The sequence below is a fragment of the Homo sapiens genome, chromosome 4 (genome assembly GCF_000001405.40).
Source record: "Homo sapiens chromosome 4, GRCh38.p14 Primary Assembly".
NCBI lineage: Eukaryota > Metazoa > Chordata > Mammalia > Primates > Hominidae > Homo > Homo sapiens.
In genome coordinates, this window is record NC_000004.12 from 2,782,060 (window position 1) to 2,799,883 (window position 17,824).

Below are 17,824 nucleotides of genomic sequence, written 5' to 3' on the forward strand. Positions count from 1 at the left end.
CACAGTTTGGTTTTATGCATTCTAGGGAGACATGAGACATCAATCAACATATACAAGATGAACATTGGTTCCATCTGGAAAGGCGGGACAACTGGAAGCAAACCCGGGGAGACTCGAAGCGGGGAGGGGCTTCCAGGTCATACATAGGTAGATAGGAGACAAGTGATCGCATTCTTTTGAGTGTCTGATGAGCCTCTCCAAAGGAGGCAATCAGAGATGCACTTATGTCAGTGAGCAGAGGGGTGACTTTGAATTTAACAGGAGGCAGATTGGCCCTAACCAGTTCCCAGCTCAACTTTTCCCTTTAGCTTAGTGATTTGGGGGCCCCAAGATTTATTTTCTTTTCATAGAATGTACATTCTGCAGTTGTTGGGTAGAATGTTCTGTGAATATCTGTTAAGTATATTTGTTTTATGGTATACTTTAAGTCTATTGTTTCTTTGTTGACTTTCTGTCTTGATAACCTGTTTAGTGTTGTCAGTGGAGTACTGAAGTCCCCCACTGTTCCTGTGTTGCCCTCTATCTCATTTCTTAGGTCTAGTAGTAACTATTTTATAAAGTTTTTTATAAATTTGGGAGCTCCAGTGTTAGGGGCATATATATTTACAATTGTGATCCTGTTGGACTAGTCCTTTTAGCATTATATAATGACCCTCTTTGTCTTTTTTTAACTGTTGTTGCTTTAAAGTTTGTTTTGTCTAAGAATAGCTACTCCTGCTTGCTTTTGGTATCCCTTTGCATGGAATATCTTTTTCCACCCCTTTACCTTAAGTTTATGTGAGTCTTTATGTGTCAGATGAGTCTCTTGAAGACAGCAGATTCTTGTTTGGTGAATTCATATCCATTCTGCCATTCTGTATCTTTTAGGTGGAGCATTGAGGCCATTTACATTCAATGTCAGTATTGAGATATGAAGTACTGTTCTATTCATCATGCTATTTGTTGCCTGAATACCTTGGGTTTTTTTTCATTGTGTTGTTGTTTTATAGGTCCTGTGAGATTTATGCTTTAAGGAAATTGTATTTTGGTGTGATTTGAGGATTTGTTTCAAGATTTAGAGCTCCTTTTAGCAATTGTGTAGTGCTGGCTTTGTAGTGGTGAATTCTCTCAGCATTTGTTTGTCTGAAAAAGACATCTTTGTCTTTTTTGTCTTAAAAAGTATCTTTCCTTCATTTATGACACTGGATACAAAATTCTTGGCTGATAATTCTTTTGTTTAAAGAGGCTAAAGATAGGACCCCAATCCCTTCTAGCTTGTAGGGTTTCTGCTGAGAAATCTGCTGTTTATCTGATAGGTTTTCCTTTATAGATTACCTGGTGCTTTTGCCTCACAGCTCTTAAGACTCTTCCCTTCGTCTTGACTTTAGATAACCTGATGACTGTATGTTTAGGTGATGATCTTTTTGCAATGAATTTCTCAGGTGTTCTTTGAGCTTCTTGTATTTGGATGTCTAGGTCTCTAGCAAGGCCAGGGGAGTTTTACTCAATTATTCCCTCAAATATGTTTTCAAAACTTTTAGATTTCTCTTCTTCTCAGGAACACTAATTATTCTTAGGTTTGGTCATTTAACATAATCCCAAACTTCTTGGAGGCTTTGTTCTTTTTTAAAAATTCTTTGTTTTTGTCTTTGTTGGATTGGGTTAATTCAAAAGCCTTGTCTTCAAGCTGTGAAGTTTTTTCTTCTGCTTGTTTGATTCTATTGCTGAGACTTTCCAGTGCATTTTGCAATTCTCTAAGTGTGCCCTTCATTTCCAGAAGTTGTGATAGTATTTTTTTAATTCATGTTATCTATTTCACTGGAGATTTTTCCATTCATACCCTGTATCATGTTTTCGATTTCTTTAAGTTGGATTTCCCCTTTCTCTGGTGCCTCCTTGATTAGCTTAAGAGTCGACCTTCTGAATTCTTTTTCTGGCAATTCAGAGATTTCGTCTTGGTTTGGATCCATTGCTGGTGAGCTAGTGTAATCTTTTGCAGATGTTAAAGAACCTTGTTTCGTCATATTACCAGAATTGTTTTCCTGGTTCTTTCTCATTTGGGTAGACTATGTCAGAGGGAAGATCTGGGACTCAAGGGCTGCTGTTGAGATTCTTTTGTCCCACAGGGGTGCTCCCTGGATGTGGTGCTCTCCCCTTTCCCCCAGGGATAGGGCGTTCTGATAGCCAAACTGTAGTGATTGTTCTTTATCTTCTGGATCTAGCCACCCAGTAGAGCTACCAGACTCTGGACTGGTACTGGGGAGTGTCTTCAAGGAGTCCTGGGATGTGATCTGTCTTCAGGTCTCTCAGCTGCGGATACCAGTACCTGCTCCAGTGGAGGTAGCAGGGGAGTGAAGTGGACTTGGTGAGGGTCCTTGGTTGTATTTTTGTTAGGTGCACTGCTTTTGTGTTGGTTGGCCTCCAGCCGGGAGGTGGTACTTTCAAGAGCCCATCAGCAGTGGTAGGATCAGGTGGTGGATAGGGCCACAGAGCTCCCAAGAAACTATGTCCTTTGTCTTCAGAGTTCCTCAGCTGTCCCATGGAGCCTGCAGCGGCAATCCACCTCCTTCAAAGGAGTCTGTGGATTCTCTCAGCTTTCCTGGTATATTCCTGCAGTAGTTCTTGGAGCAAAAGTTCATGATGTGGGTCTCCACATGCTTCTCTGTCCATCCAAGCGAGAGCTGCAAGTTAGTCCTGCCTCCTATCCGCCATCTCCCCACAATTGTGGTTCTTTTTTTTTTTTTTTTTTTCTCCTGAGACGGAGTCTCTCTCTGTTGCCAGGCTGGAGTGCAGTGGCAAAATCTTGGCTCACTGCAACCTCCACTCCTGGGTTCCAGCGATTCTTCTGCCTCAGCCTCCCGAGTAGCTGGGATTACAGACATGTGCCACCATGCCAGGCTACTTTTGTATTTTTAGTAGACATGGCATTTCACCATGTTGGCCAGGCTGGTCTTGAACTCCTGACCTCTGGTGATCCACCCGCCTCGGCCTCCCAAAGTGCTGGGATTACAGGCGTAAGCCACCACGCCCGTCCAACTGTAGTTCTAAATCACCATCATGTTCCAAAGAAAGACTGACCAACGGGACTTGAATGCTGTAGAACAGTCTTCATTGCCTGAACTTTGAATTGTTCGGTTTTGATCCGTTTGGTTCACCGAGCCTCCTGTTAAGGAGTGTGCTTCAGTTTCTTGTATCATCCTCCCAAAAGCCGTCAGAACAGTCTCTCTGATACGCTGTCCCCTCAAGTGTCTTAAATGCTTGTATGCAGCCATCCTTAGTACATCAAATGGTCTCATCACAGTTAGAGGAACAAAACATGAAGAAAACATCATCATCCAACTAACTTGACACGGTGAATATGAATTTCACACTGAGACCAAACAAATCCATTATGATGGTGACAGAAAGTGACGCCAGTGCCCAAGGTTTCAGTCAATCTCTCAAAATTGAGAGGCTGCCTAAAAGAGGCAAAGGTTAAATTAACTTAAATTTGGCCTAAAGCTGCCTCAGCATATGGCAAACCCTAACCTGCCTTAATCTGTAAATAAACTGCAGCCTGGGAGTATACTCAAGCTGCAGTTTGTTTACAGATTAAGTCAGGTTAGGGTTTGCTATAGTCACAGGACTCTTTGGAAGAAGTCACTGAGTCTCGGCCCATCAGAGCAGCTGAGCTTTCAGCCAGTCACAGGCTGCAAACTACTCAGGCAGGTTCAAAGAAGGCAAGCACCCAGTTGTAGCCAATCAGACGATTTCTGTGTCACTTCCTTTTTCTGTCCATAAATACTGCCTGCCCAAGTTGCTGGATGGAGCTCTCTGAGCCTCTACTGGTTCGGGGTGCTGCCTGATTTAGGAATCATTTCATTGCTCAAATAAACTCTGCTAAATTGAATTCATCTAAAGTGTTTCTTTTCTATTTTTCTTTTCTTTTTCTTTTTTTTTTTTTTTTTTGAGACAGAATCTCGCTCTTGCCCAGGCTGGAGTGCAGTGGCACCATCTCGGCTCACTGCAACCTCTACCTCCCGGGTTCAAGTGACTCTCCTGCCTCAGCCTCCCAAGTAGCTGGGATTACAGGCATGTGCTACCACACCTGGCTAATTTGTGTGTTTTTAGTGGAGACTGGGTTTCACCATGTTGGCCAGGCTGCTAAGTAGCTTCAGGGACGAGAAGGTGTAAGGATGTGAAAAGCACCTGGTACTGTACCTGGCACAGCAGGTACTCCAGGAGGGCTGAGGGTGTGCACATCCCTGACTGGGCCTCACACCATCACAGGCCAGACCTTGTTCAGCTCTGCGTCAGCACCTACCCCCCCACTCCCCTGCCGCCTCTTCAGTGTGATGGGAAAGTCCCCACCCTTGGGGTCCTGAGTCTTCTGCTGTTCCCGCCAGCTCTGGGCTGGGTGGGGCAGCTCATCTTTCCAGCTTCACCCCCTGTCAGAGGCCGGGAGGAGGGGCAGTGCAGGCTGGGGGCTCAGAGACAGGGCTACTGGGCCAGAGCCATTCTGAGCTACTTGGTGGGCCCCAGTATCACCGCCGATAGAACCCCACCCTCCACAGGCTCACTGAGGGCAGCTGGCCACTCCTGACCCTGGGCTGGGCACATCAGGGGTGCCCCTGAGTGGAGAGGTGGCACTGTAGGGCATCACAGTGTTGGGGGTTCGCACATAAGAGCCCATGTCATCGGGGAGAGGGTGGCACTTTGGGGAGGGGTGTTCTCAGGGCCGTAGCAGGGGCCTTTAGGGCTGCCAGCATGGTTTAGGGGACCCACAAGTGTGGAATTAAGGCCAAGGTCCACTCCCAAGGATGGAGAAGTGGAAGGGGGAGGGAGTGGTCCTCTGGGTCCTCGGCTGGGCAGGCGGCTGAAGGCCTGGTGAGACCCCTTCAGAACCCACTTGAGGCCAGGTGGGACGGGGAGTTCTGGGTCCCAGTGGGGCGAGTCCCTCATTCACTCCTGCCAAGGCAGCCCAGTCCTGCCACGGCCATGGGAGAGGCCTGGGGAGTCGAGGTGGGAGCAGCCCTCAAGTGTCTCCTGGGGTCCCCTCTCCCAGGAGGCCTCCCAGGCTCATCTGTTCTCTTGTTCCTTCCTGCTCTGGTCGTGAGGGGCTTTGCTGTCACGCAGGTCACCTTGCACCCTCATGTCTCAGTGTCCAGCGCTGGCTGGGGAAGGGCTGGCTGCCTCTCCTGACCCTGGGCTGGGGTGATAGGTGGGGACCCCTTGGGGTGACGTGGGAACCTCACCACTGTTGAAGGCCACAGCTTCCCCTTCCCAAGCCCCACATGGGCTTCCCCTTCCAGATCTCAGTGTGTTCCTGAAGGTCACGTGGCTGGCAGGGGGTGGTGGTGGGGGTGGGGGGTGACAGGAGAGGGGGTGTTTTGGAGGGAGGCGGGTGGGGCACGCTGTTGTGTACAAACACCCACCTCCCACGGCACAGGGGCCGGAAGTGGCCCCAGAATAGAATGTGCTGCTTTCAAGTTCCAAATTGGGCTCTGGGGGTGAGAGCAGGCGACTCTGGATGTAAAAATAGAAAAGCCAGTGCGTGCGTGGGTCCTGGGTCCTCCACCCACAGGCCTGGTATTACAAAATAGAGCTTCCTAATGGGACCTGCCTGACACTCTCGTTTTATGTAGAAAATTGACTCAAGCAAACCTCAGAGGACAGAGCCAGCAGCTGACCTGGGCTAGAGGTGTGGCAGCCAGGCAGGCAGGGCAGGCCCTCCTGGGGAGTGCTGGTGGCCTGGGGGCGCTGGCTGGCCCTTGACCTGGCGTGAACTCTGGCTCTATTTCCCTCACTCTGCCCTCTAGCGCTGTGCCCCTGCCAGGAGAGTCCTCCCAGGTTGTGGGAGCCCAGCTCAGTCCTACTGTCCCCAAAGAGCCTTCGCCGACTTCGTCAGCCTTTACCAGCTCTCAGGCTGGCCAGGAAGCCAGGCCTGTCCCAGGCACGAGGGGCAGTGGGCAAGCTGGCTGTGGGCCCCACCCTCCACAGGCTCACTGAGGGCAGCTGGCCAGAAGCCCACAGGCTGGGGCCACCCACTGAGGATGTTTTCTGAGCAGGGCCCCGTGTTGGACCATCCTGGGGACCAGAGCCACTGGAAGAGCCCTGACCTCAAGGCGCCCCAGCCTAGGGGGTGGGATGGGGTGGTGAGGAAGGCTAGTTCTGGGCAGTGTGGTGGGATGTAGGTGCACATCTGGGCATGACTGTGGGGGTCTGGGGAGGTCCCCTGGGGTAATGCTACTGAGCTGGCTTTCCCGGGATGACGCTGGAGGGCAGTGGAGGCAGAGGGGAGGCCAGTGTGCAGGGCACTCTGGCGTGGGGTCTGGCTGAGACCTGAGCGGGCCTCCATGCTTCCACCCCTCAACCAGCACACACGTCCTACCATCCCACCCAACCTCCACTGCTCCCCCTCCAGCCCCAGGCTGCTCCTTTCCCCTTCATTCGGTAAAGGAGAAAATATTCCCCATCCCACCCAGGGCAAGGCGTGAGGCAGCCAGGCCTGGCCTGGGATGCAGAGATGGCCCAGAGCCTGGGAGGGGCCACTCCTGTCCAGCCTGCCCTCCCTGCCAGAGTGCCTGCCACCAGCCCAGCCTCCTGGGAGAGATGCCAGCCCCCAGCCCTGTCCTCAGAGCCAGACTGATGCCTGCGTGTGAGGCCCAGCCTGCCTCCTCAAACTCCTCTTCCCATGAGCCACAATCCTCCCCCACACCCCCTCTGCCCCTCCCTCCAGTGCTGGGCTGTGTGGCCAGGGGACTGGACTGTGTGGCAGGATGACTCCACACAGCCTCCCCCAGGGAGTGGGGATTGGGGGAGGTAGGGTGGGAACCTGTCCCCTCCTATCCCCAGGGAAGCAGGTGGGAAGCCTGTGGCCTTGGCCCTACTCAGGAATTGCCTCTCCTAGCGAGGCGGCCTGGTGAGGTGGTACACTGTATCACTGTGGGGCCACTCCTGGGGACAGGGACAGGTGGGAGGGCAGGGTCCATGCTTCCAAGGTCCTCTGGACACGGGACCCAGGTGGCAGCTCCAAAACCTGGCTAGGATGGGCACAGTGGCTCATGCCAGTAATCCCAGCACTTTGGGAGCTGAGGTGGGTGGATCGTTTGAGCCCAGTAGTTCGAGACCAGTCTGGGCAACATGGTGAGACGCTATTTCTACAAAAAAATAAAAAATATAAATAAATAAAAATTAGTTGGGTGTGGTGGCACATGCCTATAGTCCCAGCTGAGGTGGGAGGCTCACCTGAGCCCAGGAGGTTGAGGCTGCAGTGCCACTGCACTCCAGCCTGGGCAACAGAGTGAGACCCTATCTCAAAACAAAAGAACAAAAACAAAACCTACCTAGCCCCTTCCTTGGGGCTGCCCCTTGAGGCCTTTGTCTGTTCATTCACCAATCATGCACTGGGAGTCTATTTTGTAACTCAGGTGCCCTGGAAGCAGAGCCCAGACCAAGGGAAGCGAGGGGTCCAGGCACACCCGCCAAGGGTGATCTAGGGGCAGGAATGGCAAGTGCAAAGGCCCTGAGGTGGGAATGTGTCTGCGGTGCTGGAGGAGACAGGAGGCCAGTGTGGCCAATGCTAAGCGGGGCTATGGAGAGAGAACTCAGGGAGCAGGCAGGTGGCACAGGCTCGGTCTGGGCCCTGCCCATGCAAGGATAGAAGGCATTTGCCTTGGGGGAGGTGGGATCTACAGAAAGTTCTGAGTGAAGAAGTGACATGACCTGACTCACACTGTGACTGCACCCCTCTGGTGTGATGATGGACACTGCCAGGCAAGCGCAGGAGAGGGAGGATGAGGCAGGCAGGGGCTGAGAAAGGCAGGATTCCAGGTGTGCTTTGCCAACAGAACCTTCAGGGCGGACGGGATGTGGGGCGAGCAGAGAGGCATCAGTGCGGACGACTCCAGGGTTGCTGGCCCAGGGAAGGAAAAAGAGACTTGGCAGGCGCATGAAGCCCCCTGCTGGGACGCCTGTGACACGTAGACCAGCGGCAGATCTTGCCCTCGCCATCCTAACCGTCAGCCTCACCCTCAGCAGGTCCTGCCCTACCCCCCAGACAGCAGCTGCCTCTGCCTGTTCTGGGTCCTGCCAAATCAGTGGCATGGCCGATGGCACACGGGGGATGGGTGTGGCGGGGGACCGGCCCCCTTCTCTTTGGCCTTATTCTGTGGGTGTGATTGGGGCATCACCATGGGCTTCTACCCCGGATGTGCCCTGTGGAGGTCTGCTCCCCAGCTCCCTGCCGGCCAGGGGTCCTCGCCTTACCTCTGCTCACCTGCCCTGCATACCCTCCCAGCAGGCGAGGTCATCCTCCTCACCCATCCCTGCTCTGTCAGCCTCAGCGGAACCCCTGGGTGCCCAGAGGCTCTGGCCACAGCCTCCAGCAGCTTCTTGCTCGGAGGGGCTGCTGGGAGCTGCCCTGAGGCCCCAACTAGGAGTTCCTTCCTCCCACGCCCTGGGGTTGGACTGGTAAGGGGGGAGAAGGGGAGGAATATGAGGTGTGGGATTCTCCCCACGGTGGAGGCTGCACCCTGTTCCCCCTGTTTGGCTGAGGTGCCCTGCACAGAGGTGCTTTGCATTTCTGGGTGATCATTCTCTAGGCGCCTGGTCCGTCCACACTGTCTGCAGTGACCCTGCTCCGTCAACTCTGAGCTTGGCATCTGAGGCCAGCCCTGTACACCCTGCCCTGTAGTCAGGCCCTGGCGGGGCCGCACCGACGTTTGGCTTTGCTCCACTCCCCTCCCGGTCTCTGCCCCTTTCCCCAGCTGGTCCCCTGGGAACAGGACACTTGCTGTGACCCAATGGCATCTGCTCATTTGTCCATTTGCTCCTCTCGTGAGCCACAAGGGTAGGGACTTCCTTGTATCATCTTGGGTCCCCGGGGTCTGGTGTGGGGCCAGGCATTTATTTAGCTGAACTGGACATCAGGGACATCAAGATGTACAGCCCCAAGGTCATGAGTGTTTTGTCAGGAGCCTTAGACCAGTCTGGCCCAGCCTGGAGCTCCCTCCGCATGTGGCCTCTTACAGGAGTGACGCAGCCCCATGCGGTGCTAACAGTGGCAGCACTGAACGTCGGATGGGGCTGAGCCCAGCCACTTCCACAATGGCTGTAGTTCCTATCTCTTCCTCCCTGCTAGGAAAATGTGAAATAGCCCAGAGTGGGGGGTGGGCAGAAGAGTTGCAGGCTACCCAATGCTGGGATGAGCAGAGTTGAGACCTGGGGAGCCAGGCCCAGGACACTTACAGGTGGGGATGTGAGCAGGCACCCCAGAGAGTGAGCACCCCAGCCAGCCAGCACCCATCTACTCCCTCACTGGGGTCTAAGTTCAGCCCCGAGAGCTAGGCTGTAGGTGGGTAGAGTCACAGCCCCAGCGCCGGTGTGAGGGGTGGCCCTGGGCCAGGTAGAGTGAGTATCTGCCTGCTGTCATGCCCCATCCACTTCTGCCGCCTCCCCAGTAGAGGACCCCCTCCATTTCACAGATGGGGAAAAGGGGCCCTGTTGTCTGAAGACTCTCCCATATCCTCCCCTGCCTCTGCCATCCCCTGCTTTGTCCCTTCCCTTCCAGAGGCCCTGCCTTGGTCCTGGTCACTTCCTGGTAGGCACTGGCTCTTCCTCTATGCCTGGGCTCAGGGCCTGGCCACCTAGTTTTCTGACTCCTCCCACTTACTCCCCTCCCCAGTTAACCTCTCTGATCCCAAGTGTGTCTCTCCAGCAGGGAGGAGGGCTATTGCAGCCAGGGATCCCCTTTCTGAGGCTTGGGACCCATTATTGGGCAGCTCTGGGACAGGTGGACGGTGACTTGGCCCACACTCGGTCCAGCTGCAACCCTGAGAACCCGCTTGGTTTGGCTGTGTCTCCTGGAGGCCCTCAGGTATTTCAACCTGTAGGACCCAAACCCAGTCCTTCACCTGCTGCAGGGCCAGCCCTGGACACCCCTGCCCCTGCCTGATTTGGAGCAGCCAATTCAGCCCCTGTCATTGGACTCTGGCCTCTTGTGCTCAGTACAGAGGGTCAGACCTTGGCCGCCTGCCTGGACAGGGCCAGGTCACCACCACCCACCCCCAGCTCCCTTGGGTTCCCAGCAAGATCCTGTCCTTCCTCTACTCACAGCTTCCTGGGCTCTGGGACCTGGGGTCCAGTCCCCACTCCTCATGGGGAGGAGTCCCCCCACGCCCCAAGCAGTTGACTCCCGCACTGGTGGGGGGTCCGCTCGCCCTCAAGCTCTGCAGGCCCAGCTTGGTCTCCCCAGCCTCTTCACTTTCTCCACGGCTCCCTCCACCTACCTGGCCCTGAGAGCTCCCCAGGGAAGCCATTTCCTCCCAGGAAGCCCCTCCTCTTCTCGCCCCTGCCCTTACACCAAGGCATCTGGGCCTACTCTTAGGGAGAGGGTGATGGTGGAGGAAAGGGAGCCTCAGAGGAGGCCAAGTGTAAAGCACCCGGTCTCCTGTGCCTCCCAGCCCCAAGACGACCTCTGGGCCACCGGAGTCCAGACCTGGTCCAAGAGGCGAGGTCCCCCTGGGAAGTGCCTGAAAAGTACCCTGGAGGACATTTGGAAACAAAGACAAGGTTTCCTGGTGCCCAGCAAGCCCTCCCCCACCTCCCCTGCTCCTGTCTTGGCCAGGGCCTAAGTCGCACTCACGGGGCAGGGGTGGGGCCGCCCAGGATCAGGACCACGGGGCTGGGGGGGTGGACAGCGCCCTTTCCACCTGGGTCGCTGGGCACTGGGGTGTCACTGGGAGGGACACGCAGGAGGGACAGACACGCTACCTCACTCACGGGCGAGAACTAAGCACCTACTGTGGACCCGGCGTCTAGGCCCGCGACAACGCCAGTCTTCGCCCCCCAGGGGCCTCGTCCCGGGGCCGCGGAGGCCACGTGCAGTTCCCCGCCCACCCTGAGGTACCGGCCCCGCCCCACGCCCAGCTCGGACCTCCAGGATTGCGGGACCCGCCGGGGAGGGGCGGGGCCGGGGCGGGGCCAGGAGGAGGGCGGACTGGGCGGGCGCGGGCGGGACGGAGCTGCGGCGGCGGCGGGTCCCGCGGGCGGGAGCGCCTGGCGGCCGAGTCAAGCCGCCGCCTCGACCCAGGGCCCGCGGGCCAGGAGAGCGCTCGGCGGGTAAGCCTCGGCGGCGGGTCTCGGCGGGTCTCGGGGGTCTCGCGGGGGGGCGGTCTCCGCGTCTGGAAGGGGCTCGGCGGGCCTTGGCGGTCTGGGGGCTCTCGGCGGGTCTCGGGGGTCTCGGGGGAGTCTCGGGGTCCCGACAGGTCTCGGCGGGTCTCGGGGGTCTCGGGGGAGTCTCCGGGGAGTCTCAGGGGTCCCGGCAGGTCTTGGCAGGTCTCGGGGGAGTCTCAGGGTCCCGGCAGGTATGGGCGGGTGTCGGGGGTCTCGGGTGCGCAGCAGCCTCCCCCGGGCCCCGGGGCCTCCGTGTCCTTGCCAAAGGACGCACGGGGCCTGGGCACGGCGGGCAGTGCCCGAGGGAGCGCGGCTTCGGGGCGGGGGCCGGGTGTCCCTTGCCGGGGGCTCAGGGGTGGGAGGCGGTGCGACGCGTCTGTTTCGCACCCCTCGCGCCCCTCTGGCCCCGCGGCGGGGCCCCTTTACGCGACCCTCCCCACAAGACTCAAAGGCTGCGGCGGGCACTCGCTCTCCGCCCTTCCCGGAATCCAAACTTCCCTCTGCAGCGGCCGCGCTTCACGGAGGGCAAGAAAAGCCGCCCACTGGCGCTGATTCACACTGAAGTGTGAGTGACTGATAGCCGGGCGTCTGAGACTCTCATGGGCAACAGGGAATCTCAGGGGTGGCAGAGGGACTGGAGGAGTTAGGGGGCGGGGACAGCCCCTTCCACCTGTACGCTGGCCTCCCTGCAGCCCAGCACTTTCCCGCTGCTCTGGGCCTCGGCTCCCTGGGGGTATTGAGGGCCTGAGCCCTGCTGTGGGGAGCCTTCTGCTGGTGCTCCTTTCCGTGAGCACCTCCTATCCCCTCTCTGTGCCTCAGTTTGCTCATCTGTTGACACTGGGGACAGCTGTGCCTCCTGGTCTAGTGGCCACACTTAAGTCCTTCGAATTGGCTGTGGCCAGGGGCGGGTACTCCGTGTGGGCTGCTGGGGTGGACAGCCTGCCTGGATGACATGTGTGTGGCCTTGCAGGTGACATGGGCCGGTGATGCAATGTGTAGAATTGTTTCCACAACCGCCTGAAGGCAGGGCCCACAGCCTCCTCCTTGCCGAAGCAAGCCTCTGGGTTCAGGTCAGCCCTGCACCAACTCCATGAGCCTGGACAAGCTCCTGCCCTCACTGGCTCAGGCCCTGTGGGACCAGAGGAGGGGCTGGGCTCCACCCCCTCCTGGTTCTTCCCACTCTGTCCACTGTCTCCTCTACGTAGACACCGTCGAAGGGCCCTCTTGGAGCCCAACCTCAGGGCCCCACTCCAGGCACTCCACTCCTGGCAGGACAGGAGGCCTGGGACGAGGGCTGCAAGGGAGTGAGGATTCTGTCTATCCCCTCTCCCTGCCACCCGCCAGGCTCCCTTTGCCTGGCTCTGTGCCCTGCGTTAGGCACACCCTGGAGGGGGCAGGCAGAAGGAAGACAGATAGGCAGCCGTGTCTAGGAACTGCCAGCCAGGGCCATCTGGTGAGAGGGGTGCTGACAGGGGACCTGGCCTTTCAGGGAGTCCCCAGGCCTCCAGGATCATGGGGGAGCCCACCAAGGAGGCTGGCCTGAAGAGGCAGACAGAGGGAGGACAGGCTCTGGGCCTGCCTTGGCCCTTTCTGCCCACATGGACAGAGGAAGCAGGGTGCTGAGTCAGCTGGAGCTCCCCACCCCCCAGGGATGCACGCACACAAGCAGGCCCACAGACGGGAAGTCCAGGGGCCCAGAGAGACGAGATGGCCAGCCTTGGTTCCTGAGGGGCAGGGAGGAAGGGCGCAAACTCAGCCAGGATCTTGGGTGTGAACTCAGATGCCACCAGTTTCCAGCTGTGTGATCATGGCCAGGAGGCTTCCCCCTGCCACCCCTCCGTTTTCTCATCCATGACCTGAGGGCTGTGAAGCACTTTGTACCTGGTGGGTGGCTATGAGTGTCCGTAGGGGGGATGGTGGTGGTGGTGACATGTGCTTGGTATTCAGTGACAGTGGGTCGCTGAGGGTGCTCTCCCTGGTCCTCAGGGCCGCTGTATGTCCTGTTTTGGGTGGGGGCAGGGACTGGCCTGGAGAGGCCTGGGTAAAGGCCAAGGCTCCCAGGTTCCTGCCCACATTGGACTAAGGCCTGAGTCCATCAGGAGTGGCCAGTGTTGGGCAGCCCCTGGGTCTTCCTGCGTTCTGTCCTCAAAAGCTCCCTTGTGGGGACACCCCAGGTCAGTGACTATGTGTGGCAGGCTCTGCCCTCCTCACTCTCTGTCCTCTCTTGACCTCATGATCTGCCCACCTCCCAAAGTGCTGGGATTACAGGCGTGAGCCCCCACGCCTGGCAGAGTATATAGTTCTTTAATAACCGGGTGGCTTGGCCATCACTGTGCAGCCTGGGTGGGTGAGGAGAAGGGCAGGCTGGCGGGGAAAAGACGGGGAATTTGCCACAAGGTGAGAGCTGTCCTACCCCAGACGCAGTGGAGCGGCTCCCACCCCTCGGGCCAATGAATACAGGGTGGGCCGTCAGGAGGAGGGATCTGAGCCGGGCGGGCAGCCATGCAGGTACAGACAGACTAAGCCAAAGGCGGGCGGTAGGGAGGGTGGGAGACCAGTTTGACGGGAGTGGCCTTTGCATGCCAGGTGTGGTGAGGGTATGGAGGGGCCTGGGAGGCAAGGAGAAGGGGCCGTGCAGACCCTGGAATCCTTCCTCCAGGATAGGCGGCTCCTCCCCAGAAGGCCTCTGCATTCTTCTGGTGGCCCTGTCTGGACACCGAGGGGCTGGAGACAGTCCCACGTGTGGGCTGCCTAAGTCCCAGAGGGGGTGGTAGGGAGCATTTCAGGCTCACTGGCTGGCCCCCTTCCCTGGGGCACTGGACCCTCCTCACCACCCCTTGGCCTGTGCACGGGAGGGTAGACAGGATGGTGCCAAGAGCAAGGGACTGGCCCTCAGCCACGGGCCAGGAGACCTGAGCCTTGTAGGCGAATTGCACTTCCTGACCCTCAGTTTCCTGATCTGCAAAACGGGATGACAGAAGTCCCTGGCTCTGGACCACGCTGCTGGATTTGGGTTCCGTGCCGGGCCCCTGACTACACTCATCCTTCAAGGGTGACGCGAGAGAAGCACGTGCCCAGGTTCGGGGCGGGTGGAGACCTGGGTCAGACAGGAGTTCGAGGTGGTGCAGGCTCCCAGGAGGGGAGAAAGGTGCCCTCCCCCAACCTTCTCTCTTCTCCCCAGGCTCTGTAACTTCCAAGGCCATGAGAGTGGTCAGGCCCTGCTTGGTTTCCCGGCCCCCGATCACAGATCGTGCTGGAACTGCTGGCCCCAACGCCCTGAGGTGACTGGCCCTTTCTTCATGGATTCCGGTCACATCTGGTCCATCTTTGTCAGCTGGCCTCTGGGAAGAATGTGGGCTCGGCCACCTGGAGCAGTTGCCTGGGGAGATCAGAGGAGCCCTGAGGGGTTGGCAGAGCGCCCTCGTGGTATCCATACCCCCATCCCTGTAGCTGAGCTGATTCCAAGAAGTGCCCTCTGCTTCCTTGTGAATCAGATGTTTACTGCGCTCCTGCTGAGCCTGCTCCAGGCAGCTGGGTGGGGCGTAGGGTGCCTGTCTGCTCAAGCCTGCAGAGGGAGGCCAGCTCCCCACCCCAGGGTCAGCCAGGCTGGCAGGCAACAGCCTCAAGAAGGCAGTGTGCGTGCCATGGCACACGGGGCTGAGGCCGCGAGGCAGGGGCCGAGGGAAGCGGCACAGAGCTTCTCTCAGGCACCAGAGGGGAGCTGAGTTCTGGGCTCAGAGCAGGCTTCGTCTGAGGGCTTCAGCGTCCTCCTTGTGAAATGGGGTGAAAGTAGGTCTAACTCATGGGAGGCCAGATCCCCAGGCCCGAGCTAGGGCCTCCCTGCCCTTGACACTGTGTGAATGGGCAGCTCCGTTTGGGGGAGTTCCTTCAGCCTCGATCCAGGGGTGTTGTAATCTAGTGATGCTCTTCTGTGGCATTTGAGGGTCCTGGGTCCCCATGCCCTGCAGCCCTGTCCACTGTCCTGAGCTAGGCATAGGGGTGGGCCCTTGCTGCTGGCTGCCCCTGGACAAGGTGGGAAGGGATCAGGGGTCATTCTGGGAGCCTGGAATGCTGGGCGGTCCTTGGCTTTTTCTCAGCCTTGGGAGTCTGGGGCAGTGGTGCGCCTTTACCACCCACCCTGGTTTCTGCCTCTGGGGCAGTGGTGGACCTCCTTCAGAAGGCTGCTGCCCAGCCCCGGGCCCCACTCATGCAACACTGGGTGCCTGTGTACTGGGCCCTGGGCTAGGCATGCACTGCAAGAGCAGACAGGCCACAGGTCAGAGGGCAGGACCGCTGGCAGGTGCCCATGGGTAGCAGCTCACCTGCCTGGCCCACCTTGCCACTCTCTCCCTTAGAAGCAATTTCAGCTGAAGACATAAGTGTCTGTCCTGCTTGGTGCTCAGGGTACCCTCCCTGGCCACCCCCAACTCCACCCTGAGCTGGGTGCCTTCCTGAGCCCCCAGCCTGGTCTATGGCCACCATGCATGTTGACCCATCCATGGTGACCTGTCCGCCTGCCCCTCCTGCTTGGGAACTCAGGAAGGTCAGGGTCGCGTCTGAGAGCCCATGCCCTGGTGGTGCCCACGTGGGCCTGTCCCAGAGGAAGGGTGAGGGGAGTGCCGGCTCTCCCAGCCTCCCACTCCTGGGCAGGGAAGTGGCGCGGGCAACGGGCGGGCTGTGCCAAGCTCTTTGAAGGTGGCTTGTCACTCCCCCCACCTGTGTTTAACTCTACTGAGCATCAGAGCCTAATGTGCCAGTCAGCCTGGCAGCTGCCGCCCAGTTGGTGGAGTTTCCAATCAGATAATATCAGACTGTTGTGCTTTGGTCTCCCACGAAACTCTTCAGGTTTCCATCACAGCCTCCTCCCTTCCCCCTGCGGGCTGCGCTGTGACAGCCACCGCTGCCTGCCACCCGGCAGCAGGGACCCAGCTGCTTCTGGGCCTGGTCTCGGTGGCCCTGGCAGCGGTAGATAGGGAGGACCAAAGCCTGGTGAGGAAGAGCCGCCGAGCGGAGTCGGTGTCCCCTGTCCTCTCCCTGAACGAAAGTGCTTTCTTTCTCTGTAGCTGCTCTTCCTAAACGTGTGTTGGCTTGAGATTGGAGTTAGCCTGGCCTACCTGTGCCACCAGGGCTTTGGGTCCCAAAGAGCTGGCACCTGAGGCAAGTCCAAGCAAAAGGCCGGATTTCTCACCATTAGGAGGGCAATGGGGAAAGATCCAGAAAAGCTGGCCTGGGAGCCCTGAGTGGCAGGTGGGGGTACACAGCCCTGCATGGAGACCAGGCTCAGAGCCAGAGGAGGCAGGCCAGGAAACTCGGCACTCATCTCCTCTCTCGGAAACGCCCCTCCCTGACCCCAGCTGCTTCCTCTCCTCCTACTCGAGGCCAGAAAGGGAAGCCCCTTTCCAGTGGGGTGAGTGGCTGGCGCTGCCCGAGGCGGTCCGCTGATGGCTGGGCAGATAGTGCTGGGGCCTGGCCTGGCAGGCAGATCAGTGGTCAGCAGAGTGAGTTTGACCAGGGCAGAGGGGAAGATGACGGGGGTGCATCCCCCGAGCTGGGGGAAGTGACTTCCCGTTGCCATCACCTCTTGTGGCCTCAGGCGTTCCCAGGCTGAGACCTCTAGGAACACAGGTGCTGGGTGGCTCAGGTGGCTCCACCAGGCCAGGCCGTGTGACCTGGGCATCCTCCGCCTTCTCTGGGCAGGGCAGGGACAGGAAGTGCAGCCTCATGGGATGCGTGAGGGTGAGGGTGTGCCCATCCAGCTGCTGGGGCGGGGTGTGTGGGAGTGGCCCCCCAGGAGCTGCACGCAGCACGGGGCCTGGGAAACTCCAAAGCCGGCGTCAGGTCATCGAGGCCTCCGGGCTGATTAGGACTAATGGCGCTCAGGGGTGCAGCCTCAGCCTCCACCCGCCACCCGTACCCGCCCTGCCTCAGGACTTCGTTCCTGCTGTACCCCTGCTGGCTGCCTGTCCCCACAGGTGGCTCCTTCCTCCCCACCGGAGGAGCTGCTCCCAGGCGGGACCCTGGGGGTGGAATCTCTGAAATGCCTTCCCCTCGGGACCCTCACCGCGACTGGACTTCGCTCAGCTTCAGACCCTGGGCTGCAGCTGCCTAATGAGGTGGGATGGGGCCCTGGGTGTGTAAAGTGGAGGGAGGGGCAGTGGCCACCTCTGAGCCCTGAGCCATCCTGGGGTCCTGGGTGCTGGCTTCAGGAAGGTTTGCTACTTGGGGCAGGGGCTCTCTGAGATCAACCTTCCCATTTTCTTGAGGATGTGACCAGGAGGGTGATGTTTTGTGGTCGGGGTGGCTGTGCCTGCCTCTGGGGCAGGAAGTTGCTGGGGAAGGAAGAAGATTGAGAAAGGACCCCCAACCCCCACCTCTGCAGAGGATCTAGCGGGCCTTGCCCCATGCCAGGGTTCCTGCCGGCTGGCATCAAGGGGACAGCTATTCCAGGGCTGGTGTCCTGAGAAGCAGGGGGGACCCACTTGGGACCCAGGCCCCCTCGAAGACCTACCCAGAGCCACCCTTGCGGCAGGCAGGGTCCTGGCCCTTCCAGTACGAAGCTGGGAAAAGGCAGCACCAAAGATGCCAGGGGCGCCTCACGGATCCCCCCGGGGGGGCCTCCTTGAGGGGGAGCAGGAGGAGGGGCCAGGCTGAGGGCTCAGGCTGTGTGAAAGACACCCTGGTTTTGAAAAGG

At 58.4% G+C, this 17,824-nt stretch overlaps 1 protein-coding gene across 1 annotated transcript in view, besides 8 other annotated features; it reads left to right on the forward strand.

The window, feature by feature from the left end:
- Positions 3,800 to 3,849: an enhancer, noted in NCBI's record as "active region_21184". NCBI's record gives its function as "activates an Ori minimal core promoter by ATAC-STARR-seq in GM12878 lymphoblastoid cells {active_cell/tissue: GM12878}" and the evidence as "EXISTENCE:reporter gene assay evidence [ECO:0000049][PMID:35858748]".
- Positions 4,210 to 4,419: an enhancer, noted in NCBI's record as "active region_21185". NCBI's record gives its function as "activates an Ori minimal core promoter by ATAC-STARR-seq in GM12878 lymphoblastoid cells {active_cell/tissue: GM12878}" and the evidence as "EXISTENCE:reporter gene assay evidence [ECO:0000049][PMID:35858748]".
- Positions 4,553 to 5,187: an enhancer, noted in NCBI's record as "H3K4me1 hESC enhancer chr4:2788339-2788973 (GRCh37/hg19 assembly coordinates)". NCBI's record gives its function as "activates a minimal SCP1, AML or CMV promoter by ChIP-STARR-seq in naive H9 embryonic stem cells {active_cell/tissue: H9 hESC(naive)}" and the evidence as "EXISTENCE:reporter gene assay evidence [ECO:0000049][PMID:30033119]".
- Positions 5,390 to 5,699: an enhancer, noted in NCBI's record as "active region_21186". NCBI's record gives its function as "activates an Ori minimal core promoter by ATAC-STARR-seq in GM12878 lymphoblastoid cells {active_cell/tissue: GM12878}" and the evidence as "EXISTENCE:reporter gene assay evidence [ECO:0000049][PMID:35858748]".
- Positions 5,823 to 6,457: an enhancer, noted in NCBI's record as "H3K27ac-H3K4me1 hESC enhancer chr4:2789609-2790243 (GRCh37/hg19 assembly coordinates)". NCBI's record gives its function as "activates a minimal SCP1, AML or CMV promoter by ChIP-STARR-seq in naive H9 embryonic stem cells {active_cell/tissue: H9 hESC(naive)}" and the evidence as "EXISTENCE:reporter gene assay evidence [ECO:0000049][PMID:30033119]".
- Positions 6,040 to 6,099: an enhancer, noted in NCBI's record as "active region_21187". NCBI's record gives its function as "activates an Ori minimal core promoter by ATAC-STARR-seq in GM12878 lymphoblastoid cells {active_cell/tissue: GM12878}" and the evidence as "EXISTENCE:reporter gene assay evidence [ECO:0000049][PMID:35858748]".
- Positions 10,744 to 11,093: a silencer, noted in NCBI's record as "silent region_15182". NCBI's record gives its function as "represses an Ori minimal core promoter by ATAC-STARR-seq in GM12878 lymphoblastoid cells {active_cell/tissue: GM12878}" and the evidence as "EXISTENCE:reporter gene assay evidence [ECO:0000049][PMID:35858748]".
- Positions 11,026 to 17,824, forward strand: part of SH3BP2 (SH3 domain binding protein 2) — a 48,012-nt gene continuing 41,213 nt past the window's right edge. The window contains exon 1 of the mRNA NM_001122681.2: positions 11,026 to 11,079. The gene's annotated coding sequence lies outside the window, so the exon portion shown is untranslated. The remainder of the gene's footprint in view (positions 11,080 to 17,824) is intronic.
- Positions 16,447 to 16,786: an enhancer, noted in NCBI's record as "active region_21188". NCBI's record gives its function as "activates an Ori minimal core promoter by ATAC-STARR-seq in GM12878 lymphoblastoid cells {active_cell/tissue: GM12878}" and the evidence as "EXISTENCE:reporter gene assay evidence [ECO:0000049][PMID:35858748]".